Source organism: Homo sapiens, chromosome 9 (assembly GCF_000001405.40).
Source record: "Homo sapiens chromosome 9, GRCh38.p14 Primary Assembly".
NCBI lineage: Eukaryota > Metazoa > Chordata > Mammalia > Primates > Hominidae > Homo > Homo sapiens.
In genome coordinates, this window is record NC_000009.12 from 24,141,187 (window position 1) to 24,152,183 (window position 10,997).

The 10,997-nt window shown below is 35.3% G+C and overlaps 1 long non-coding RNA gene across 3 annotated transcripts in view; it reads left to right on the plus strand.

Moving 5' to 3' along the window:
- The window catches only part of LOC124902327 (uncharacterized), a 100,784-nt gene extending 94,972 nt beyond the window's left edge, over window positions 1–5,812 (plus strand). For all 3 annotated transcript variants that reach the window (XR_007061897.1, XR_007061898.1, XR_007061896.1), the window contains exon 2: window positions 5,250–5,812. This is a non-coding gene — a long non-coding RNA (uncharacterized LOC124902327). The remainder of the gene's footprint in view (window positions 1–5,249) is intronic.
- Window positions 5,813–10,997: the final 5,185 nt, after the last annotated feature.

A 10,997-nucleotide genomic window follows, 5' to 3' on the forward strand; every position in this document is an offset into this window, starting at 1 on the left:
TACTGTGTTATGTTCTCAGTATATGGAGACGAATAAAATACATTTGATGTCTGCAATCTAACAAGCAGCGTAAGCAAACAAATAAAATAAACTGAATGTGGTTTAATAAGTAGAATAATAGAATTATCTACACAATGCTGAAGTAACCAGTGTATGAAGTAATTAATTTTTTTAAGGGGGAAAAATGCCACGGTGGACCTCTATTAACTTCAGTAGGGATGACACCAGGTTCAAGAGGCTGAAGAAGAGACCCAGAGCCAGCAAATGGGACATAGAGTTGAAGTGAAATTACATACAACGTGGTAACCAGTGATGGCAGGCTAGACAGAAGAACTGCATTGCATCCAGAAATGGTCCAGTGGCAGGGGCTGGGCAGGAGAACCACAGCTGCTTGCGAAAGGCATGCGGTTTATACAGCGTTTTCACTTAGCATCCTCCTCCTAACAACCTACATTTAGCAACCTTCATTTAACCCAAAACAAAAGGCGTCACTCTCCTGTACAGCCTGTGTTCCATGGGATGGTTCAGGGGTTCAGGTGTTCCTCATAGATAAGGAATGGGTTTTGGGTTGGCCACTCCTGAACTCCTTAGCTAGGAACTCTGAACACACATTCAGGTATATCTCCCATACAGGGTCATTCTCAGGGTATGCTTAAATTTAGTTATTGCTATCAGGTGTGTCTACCATACAGGGCACTATGGTGAAGGGCATCTCAACAAATGTTTCCTGAAAGAAATTAGAAATTATACACAAATACGATTTTGAAAGATGACCAAAAATGTGCTGAGTTTTAGGGTGTGGTCAAGTTTAGACAAAGGGAAGAACACTGAATACACTCCTCCATGGTGATGGATAGACTCGTATGCACATGATACTAATCTTGGCTATTTTAATACAGTTACTTATTCACTGATTATTTTCAGGTGCACACATTGTTTCATCCATACCATGGCAAACACGTACTAGATCAAGCGAAGTAAAGAAATGGATTAAGGTATCACATAGCCAAGATACTTGATATTTGATATAGCGGTGTAGTTTTTTCAAAGAGAAGTCATTTAAAAATCTCATGTTTTAGCCTCAGCTGCTTTTCTCTCTTTCATGACCTTTCAATTCTGCCTAATTATTAGCACTGACACAGTGCTACCTGACTAGTCAGCACACTTGCTGATAAAGGTGCATTTCTTACACATTTTTTTTTTTTTTTGCATTTCACTTCACAGGCCAAGATTTATTAACCAGCGTCTTTAGGGAGGAGTCTCATATGAAGACTTCAATGCTTTTATAAGGACATACTGTACTACATTTATAAAAAAAAGTACTATAAATAATATTACAAGAGGCAGTACAGCTCAGGTGGCTCTAAAATAAGCTGAGTGCAGAGTCTGTATGATCTAAGATATATGTCGCTCCACCACACTCAGTACAACCTAGAGGTTTTCTGCCTTTATTTCATTCTCTTTATCCATCAATTCAGGGTCAGTTTCACAAAAGCTTAAAATCCTTCACTTTTCAGTAAAAGATACAAGAAAGGGCACCTCTGGCTGGCATGGGGAAGGACCTTTCCATTTTATTTGATGACATATGATTATTACTTTATTAAGGGATTGTTAGAAATGATGATACAGATGTCTGATTGATATCCTAGGAAGATTGGGAAATTAAAAATTGGACACATATAGATTTAAAGCTCAGCTCGTCACTCAATAGCTGTGACTTTGGGTGATAAGGTTACTTTCTCTGGGCCTGGCACAGTGGCTCAAGCCTGTAATCCCAGCACTTTGGGAGGCCGAGGCGGGCCGATCACAAGGTCGGGAGATTGAGACCATCCTGGCGAACATGGTGAAACCCCGTCTCTACTAAAAATACAAAAATTAGCCAGGCCTGGTGGAGGGTACCTGTAGTCCCAGCTACTAGGGAGGCTGAGGCAGGAGAATGGTGTGAACCTGGGAGGTGGAGCTTGCAGTGAGCTGAGATCATGCCACTGCACTCCAGCCTGGGCGACAGAGGGAGACTCCGTCTCAAAAAAAAAAAAAAAAAAAAAAAGAAAAAAAAGATTACTTTCTCTGATACTTGGTTTTCCCATCTATAAGATGAGACTAAGAATAACCTCAGGGCAGGATGTTGTGAAGATACACTGAAATAATATGTGTGTGTAAAGAGCTGAACAATATCTGTTGCACAAAATACATGCTCATTAAATGGAGGCTATCATAAAAATAAAAAAGTGGGAGCAAAATGTCACACACAAAGTTCCAGTCACATCAGTGAATGTTCTGTTTCCCAAGCAAATGAATGTAGCATACTTTCTGGGGAGTCAAATTCTCATTTCCAAATGGGTGGCATTTCAACTCTCAATCCTGTGTGTTAAATTGACAGTAAAAGTAGAGCAAAACTTGACTTTTTTAGAAAAAATATCTGTGAAAGGATTTTTTTTTCAGTAAAACAGAATGTGGCAAAAGTTTTTGGTTGTTATATGAAAGGTAACTACTAAGAGAAGGCAGGAAGATTTATAAGACATAAGTAACAATCTTTCAGAACAGTAATAGTATGTTACAAACACAAATAAGAGAAGCCATTACAAAAATGGAAAAGGATGTTACTTTTCATGTCTGGGGCATGTTTTTAGGGGAACATGTTGGTATGAGTGTTCAGCATGAATATCTGTGATTATATGAGTATGCTGTGATTACCTGACTGATAGTAAGCCTGCTAATGCAGTTGATGGGAGTGGAGAGTGCTGGTGTGGAGAGGTGGGGGATGAAATTGCAGCCTCCGAGACAATATGTTTTTATCCTGCTGTACATTTCCACAAAGTCAAATAACTGGTGATATTGGACTCTGGAAAAAGAACCAGTGACTTTCTAAGCCAACAATCCCAACTTCAGGCTTACAAAATTGTATGTAGTCCTTGGAACAGCCATCAAAGTCATTCCATGAATAAAAGGGGCTCCCATTGCCAATAAGTTTGGAAATGCTGAATATTATGTCTCAACACACTACATGTTGGCATATTAAACACTCTGAGAAGTCCTGCCATAGAAAGGAACTAATTAGCGAATAGTTTTTCATTTTTTTTCTTCTGAGACAGGGTCTAGCTCTGTTGCCCTGGCTGGTGTATAATGGCATGATCGTGGCTCACTGCAGCCTTGACCTCCCAGTCTAAAGTAATCCTCCCACCTCAGCCTCCTGAGTAGTCAAGATTACAGGTGCACACCACCATACATGGATAATTTTTTATTTGTAGAGATGGGGATCTTACCATATTGCCCAGGTTGGCTGGTCTTGAATTCCTGGCCTCGAGCAATCCTTCCACCTTAGCCTCCCAAAATGCTGGTATTACAAGTGTGAGCCACTGGGCCTGGCCTTTAACAAATAGTTTGATGATTTCCTAATTGTAACACTGTATCCCTTTATCAAGAAACTTTTACAAACATCTTTTTGAGCTAGTGACCTAGAAAGCACACTTTGAAAAATCCTGAATTTGGCAACCAGGAAAAAATATAGAATTATACATATGGTAATATACAGTGAGCTGTTTTGGGGAGATGAACATTTATAATTTTATATCTCCTAAAATGTACACCTTATGCTGTGAAGGATGTAGTGGAATCTTTTGGTTCTAGCTTACGACTAGCTGAAAAAAAATTTTTGTACTATCACATTAAGCAAGAACCAGTTATTTCATAGTTTTATTTTGCACATTAAGGCACAGGAGATAAATCTTACTGTCTGACGAAATCCTTTTCAAGTTTTGTTCTACAGTTTCCAAGTCCTGATGCAGCTTTCTTCTTAAGTAAAACTATTTCCTTAATTTGAGCAATTCGCCAGGTTGAAGAAAACTTGTAAGCACTGTTAGTACTTGTCAGGAGTAAATGGGACTCTAGAGAGTTCTTTGAAATAGGAAACATTTGAACAGAATATCATCTTGCTTTCAGCTGTTTGTATAGATGCAATTTCTGCAATTCTATACCTCACAGCTCTAATTTTTCTTCTTCTGTGTCTCAGGCTTCCATCAATAATCCTTCCACTGAAACACACTTGACAAGAGAGGTAGAGTAGACGCCCTTGCAATATCTTCTGAATGTCACTCAGCAGTGATTTGTAATCGGGTTTATATATTTTAAGGAGAAAAATGTAAAACTAAATAGAAGATTCAATCCATATGAATCCAGATTGGACAAGGGTACTCTTAGTAAAATTTTATAAAATCACCTTTTGATTGGACAGTGGAAATTTTGTAAAACAGAAAAAAAAATCAGTGATTTTGGATTCCTATTGTGGATCTATATCTACAAAATAAAATCGTCTGGTAATACACCTTATTGTATGAATGAATGGGCTGTTTTGAGGACCAGTTACATCCACCTTGTACTGTGATTTTTAATACATGTTTCTAAGCTAGAACCTCTATAATACAGTTGTTACCTTGTCTCGTAACATCAGTATTAGAATAAAGGTCCTACTCTGTGTGTATACTTTAGGTAAGCAACAAGATTCCTCCTGCTGCTCTTCTGAAATTCAGGGATATCTGGACTAGAGCCTAAAGTCCTTTGTTATTTGAAAATTAAGTTTGAAAACCCAATAAAAATATTCTTTCTGGACAGCAAAAAATATTACATTAATTTCATTTGATTTGGATCTTTCTGTTTACTTAGTGAAAGCTCTTAAAAGCCTATTCTGATTATTTTGGAACAAAATTTTAAAAAATTAAGTACATTTTTAAAGTGATGCCATATAGTTCTCTCTCAGTTTATACAGGGACTATATACTCATATTAAGTTTTCATCATTTGTTTATGGAATAGCATTAGAACTTTCTGGGAAAAAATATATATCCTGGACCGTGTATCTCAATTTCAATATATTTATGTGTCCTGTGTGTGTTTAGTCACACAATGAAAGAATAGCCTATGTAAAGCATTGTCTGGAAGAAGGGGTGATGAGTTTATAATAATAGCCTTTGACTAAATATAAGGATTAGATGAGTTTGGTATGTGACCATAGGCTATCGTTCTACTTTCTCTGGAGCAAATTGCACTGTTTGAGGAATTCCTGTAAGCTCATAATTATAGTAGATAAGCATTTTACAATTTCACATGAAGATCTAAATTGACTAATTGAAAGAGGTTACTTTAAAAGTGGTGAAAGTGATGAGACCTATACGCCCATTTAACATGAACTCTAATTTCCCTCTGTTGAATTTGTGAATTTACAGTCATTCTTCTCCCTTTCATTCAACTCTTCAGGGGTCAAAGATTTCTACCCTGTTGGAAGAAGCCACTGTTGAAGTGTGAAAGGCTACTCTGCTTTCTGCGTCCATTTAACCTTTGGCCTGCCCTAAAGAGCCAGCCAAGTGTCAATCAGGGCTGATTGGGCACCTGTGCCTGGAAACAAGACAGAGAAATTTAGCTCTTCCAGGTCATCAAACCATCTCCAGATGGCAAAGAACTTCTGAAGTTATGAACCTAACTTGCTTGTGATGCAAATTAGTGACCTAGGGTGAGATGCTTCATTAATGCTTACTCCTGTGAGCCTCCAAGGTGTCAGAAGTTGGACTGCTTACTCTCACATTTTTTTTTTGCTGTGTAATGTGCATTAAAATAATTTATATTCATAGAGATGGTCCAATAAATTGCATATGGCTAGTTAATAAGCTGCTAAAGCAGAGAAGAAAATTAGATTTCATTTAGAAGAAAACAATATTTGGCTTTCCCCATGGAAATATGTGAAAAAGCTTTAGAAAATTCTGTTAACATTGAGGTCTCAGAAGAGACTGTGATTAAAAATAATAAAAAGAAAAAAATATGAATTTCTATCCAGATCACTATTTTTTTATCCAAGTGATGAGAAAAATTATGCAAACCCATGCATTTGCCCTGAGTTATGATTGTATTATATTAACCTCAGCTGACAATATCCTATGCTAGCTTTGGCTTACTTAGAATTCTGCCTCTTGGGTATAAACACACATCTGAAATTGACTCAGCTCATTTCTTTCTTGCTGGGGTCACTTTACTGGTTACTCCCAACTACTGAACTTATTTTATGTGTTTTCTTTTTTACAATATTACATTCTAAAATTTTTATCACCTAAGAATTCCTCTCTGATGATTTTATTACTCAATTCAAGATCTATAATTACGACCAAATCTCACAGATAACAAGATGCTAAGATGGGCTAATAAGGTTTTGCTTCTTTTACTTTATTCAAGGTAAAGTACTGGTTAGAGTGAACACTGCCCAGTCATTTGCAAGCAATGTTGGGACTATCAGGAGTGGCTTGTATTTTCCCATAAACTATCCTAGTGCAGTAGAAATGCCTGACAGTACTTGATGGCTGGTATCTTTGGATCTGAGTAGTTCAGATAGAAAAAGCAATTATCTTAGCAATGTCTGAGAAAGATGTTTTTGAAATTTCATTACTAAAAATAACAGGTGCTAATAATAAATATAAAACAGTAAATATTTGAGTATCTACTTTGTGTTCAATGCCATGTGGATCATTTTTTCAGTAGTATTGCTTTTCAGCAGAACACATTAGGTCATTTGGTACCAGAGTGTGTAACCATGGAGTCTATTTTCTATAAAATAGGAGAAAGCTTACTCTCTGCTCAAATTGACTGAAAAGCTACTGCCAGTGGATATTTGACTCTTGTAGAATTATTCTTTATAGTGCATCAGGTGGACAAAAAAGAAAGGATTCACAGAGAAAAGGTATGAATTATTACATGAGTTTTAGTGCAGTATAACTGTTGGATGATTCTTTATTCTAGTTATGGGTAGTGCTTTGAAAGATTAATTTAAGACTAGTCCTCTCCAGAAGTTCATGATAGTAGAAGATTAGGCTAGATTCTATAAATAAATTTTTTATATAATTATAAAAATTAACATTTATACTTTAGAAATTATAAAAATAATTTAATTTGAATCCATGAGTGAATTCAATATGTTATCAGATACATGTTTCTTTTCATTTTTCCTGATATAATAATTATAAGTAGGGTATTCTCTAATTGTTATGACTGAACTATCTGATTCTGATGCTGATGCAATTTCTACATTAATGTAATCAAATAGATGTACCAAACTAAGTGGAACTTTCGGTATACTGGAATGCTTATTGTATTGTCAGACATTTTGGTATTAAACCATTTTTTATCTATGATGAAATACTACTTGGCCATGGTGCTATTCTCTCAAGTTCATTCTCACTTACTTGTCATACTTTCCTTCATGTCCTTCAATAATATGAGCTATCTGAGAGGGCATCCCGTGTAGTCACATTACTTTATGTAATTGCCTCACCTTTTTCTTCAGATTACAACAAAGCATTTGCCGTGCTTTATCGCTAAAGTCATAATTATTTTCCATGTCATAGATCTTTATTATTCTCCAAAGTCCACTTTTTCTGTTTTAAATGAAACCAAATCTTTCCAAAAATTTATGCTTATAGAAATTCTTCAGAATGTATATTCTGTAATTTGATTTAAAGTATACAAAAATTCAGATTATCTATATATTTAATTCAAACTTTTAAAATTCTGATTGTCTGTCTGCTTCCAGTAAAAGTGTTTCTTCAGCTGTCATAATCCAGAAATATGGCAATGTTCACCAATCTATAGAGAAATTAAAAGTATCTGAGCATTCATTGTTGTTTTAATTTTCATTTTCCTGATGACATATGATGTGGAGCATCCTTTTATATGCTTATTTGTTATCTGTATATCTTATTTTAGTGAGGTGTCTCCTAAGGTTTTTGGCACATTTTAAAATCAGATTGTTTGTGTCCTTATTGTTGAGTGTTAAGATTATTTGTATATTTTCGATAACAATCCTTTGTTTGATAAGTGTTTTGCAAATATTTCTCCCAGTCAATGGCTTATCTTTCCATTCCCTTGACAGTGTCTTTCACAAATTTATACTTTAATGAAGTTCAGCTTATCAGTTTTTTTTTCATAGATCATGCCTTTAGTGTTGCAACTAAAAAAATCAATGCCAAACCCAAGGTCATCTACATTTTCTCCTGTGTTCTGGAAGTTTTATAGTTTTTCAGTTTACATGTAGGTAGAGGATCTATTTTGACTTAATTTCTGTGAAAGGTGTAAAGTTTCTGTCTAGTTTTATTGTTTTTACATGTGGATGTCCTGTCCAGCACCATTTGTTGAAAAGATAATCCATTGTATTGCCTTTCCTCCTTTGTCAAAGATCATTTGACTATGTTTATGTGGATTTATTTCTGGACTCTCTATAATGTTCTGTGGATCTATTTATCTATTCTTTTGCCATTGCCATACTTTTTTGATTATTGAAACTTTCTAGTACATCTCAAAGTCAGGTAGTGTTAGTCTTTCAACTTTGTTATTTTCCTTCAACATTGTATTGGCTATTCTGGGCATTTTGTCTTTCCATAGAAACTATAGAACCAGTTTGTCAATATACAAAAATGACTTTCTGTGATTTTTATTTGAATTGTATTGAATCTATAGATAAGATTGAGTTGATATCTTCACAATATTGAGTCTTTCTGTCAATGGACATGGAATATCTCTTCATTTATTTAATTCTTTGATCTCTTTAATAAGAATTTGTGGTTTTCCTCACATAGATCTTATAAATATTTTGTTGATTTATTCCTACATATTTTATTTTCTGGGATGATAGTGTAAGTAGTATTCAGTTTTTTATTTAAAATTCCACTTGCTCATTGCTAGTATATAGAAAAATGCTTGGCCTTTATGTATTAACCTGTTTATCCTGCAACCTTGTTATAGTCACTTTGTCAGTTCCAGTATTTTCTTTCTGGATTCTTTCAATTTTTCTACATAGATGGTTATGTTATCTATGATTAAAGACAGTTTTCTTTCTTTTTTTTCAATCTGTGTACCTTTTTTTCCTTTTCCTGTCTTATTGCATAAGATAGGACTTCCAGTACCTTGCTGAAAAGTGGTGATGAGAGGAGAAATCCTTGCCTTATCTCTGATGTTAGTGAGAAAGGAGTTTCTCACTGTTAAATGTGATGTTAGTGTGTAATGTAGAAATAGGTGTCAGATGCTTTTTCTGTATCTATTAATTTGATCAGGTGATTTTTCTTTTTTAACCTGTTGATATGACAGATTGTATTAATTGATTTCCAAATGTAAGCAGTCTTGAATACCTGCAAAGTGGTGGTAGTGTGTAATTATTTTTGTACATTGTTGGATTACATTTGGTAATATTTTGTTGAGAATTTTTGCATCTTTTTTCATGAAAGATCTTGGTCTGTAGTTTTCTTGTACTGTCCTCATCTGCTATTAGGGTAATATTGGCTTAATGGAATGAGTTAGAAAGTATTCTCTCTGGTTATATCTTCTGAAAGAGATTGTAGAGAACTGACATAATTTTTTCCTTAAATCCTTGGCTGAATTCACCGTGGACCCATCTGGGTCGGGGGCTATCTATTGGAAGGATATTAATTATTGATTTAATTTCTTTCTTTCTTTCTCTTTCTTTCTTTCTTTCTTTCTTTCTTTCTTTCTTTCTTTCTTTCTTTCTTTCTTTCTATTTTTTTTTTTTTTTTTGAGCTGGAGTTTCACTCTTGTAGGCCAGGCTGGAGTGCAATGGTGCAATCTCTGCTCACCTCAACTTCCACCTCCCAGGTTTAAGCGATTCTCCTGCCTTAGCCTCCAGAGTAGCTGGGACTACAGGTGCCCACCACCATGCCTGGCTAATTTTTGTAATTTTTTTTTTGGTAGAGATGGGGTTTCACCATGTTGACCAGGCTGGTCTAGAACTGCTGGCCTCAAGTGATCTGCCTGCCTCGGTCTCTCAAAGTGCTGGGATTACAAGTGTGAGCCACTGTGCCTGGCTGAGTTTTCTTTATAAAGATAGACCTATTCGGATTGCCTATCTCTTCTTGTGGGAGTTTTGGCAGATTGTCTCTTTCAAGAAATTGACTCATTTCATCTAGGTTATCAAGTTTGTGGGTGTAGAATTTTTCATAGTATTCCGTTATTATCCTTTTGATGTCCATGGGATGTGTAATGATGTCTCTTCTTTCATTTCTGACATTATTATAATAGTAATTTTCGTCCTCTCTTTTTCTTTTGTTAGTTAGCCTAGGTAGAGGCTTATCCATTTTACTGATCTTTTAAAAAGACCAAACTTTTTGAGTTTTGTTGATTTTTTTGATTTTCTGTTTTTAATTATATTTATTTCTGTTCTAATTTTCATTATTTCTCTTATTCCGTTTGCTTTGGATTTAATTTGCTCTTCTTTTTCTAGTTTCTAAAGTGGAAGCTCAGGTGACTGGTTTTATATTCTTCCTATTGTATGCTTTTGGTGCTATACATTTCTCTCTAACGAAGCACTGGTGGCTCATGCGTGTAATCCTACCATTTTGAGAGGGTGAGGCAGGAGGATTACTTGAAGACAGGAATTCAAGAGCAGCCTTGGTAACAAAGCAACACACCATCTCTACAAAGAAAAAAAAAATAATAATAAAAATTAGCCATTCCTGGCATGGTGGTGCACATCTCTAGTGTTCCTGCTACTCAGGAGGGTGAGATGGGAGGATCCCTTAAGCCCAGGAGATGAATGTTGCAGTGAGTTATGATCAGGCCACTGCAACCTACCTTGGCTGACAGGGTGAGACCATCTCAAGAAAAAAAAAAAAGATTTCATCTAATCACTGCTTTTCTTGTATGCTAGAAATTTTGATAAGCTGCATTTGTTTTTTTTGTTTGTTTGTTTTCAGTTAGGTGCATTTAAAATTCTCCCTTGTTATTTCTTCTTTGGTCCATATGTTACTTAGAAGCATGTTGTTTAATCTCTGAGTATTTTGGGATTTTTCAGCTATCTTTCTGTTATTGATTTCTAGTTAATTCCATTGTGATCTGAGAGAAGGCATTGTATTATTTTATTTATTCTTCTTAATTTCTTAAAGTGTGTTTTAAGGCCCAGAACATGGTTTATTTTGGTGAACGTTCCGTGTAAGCCTCAGAAAAATATATATTCTA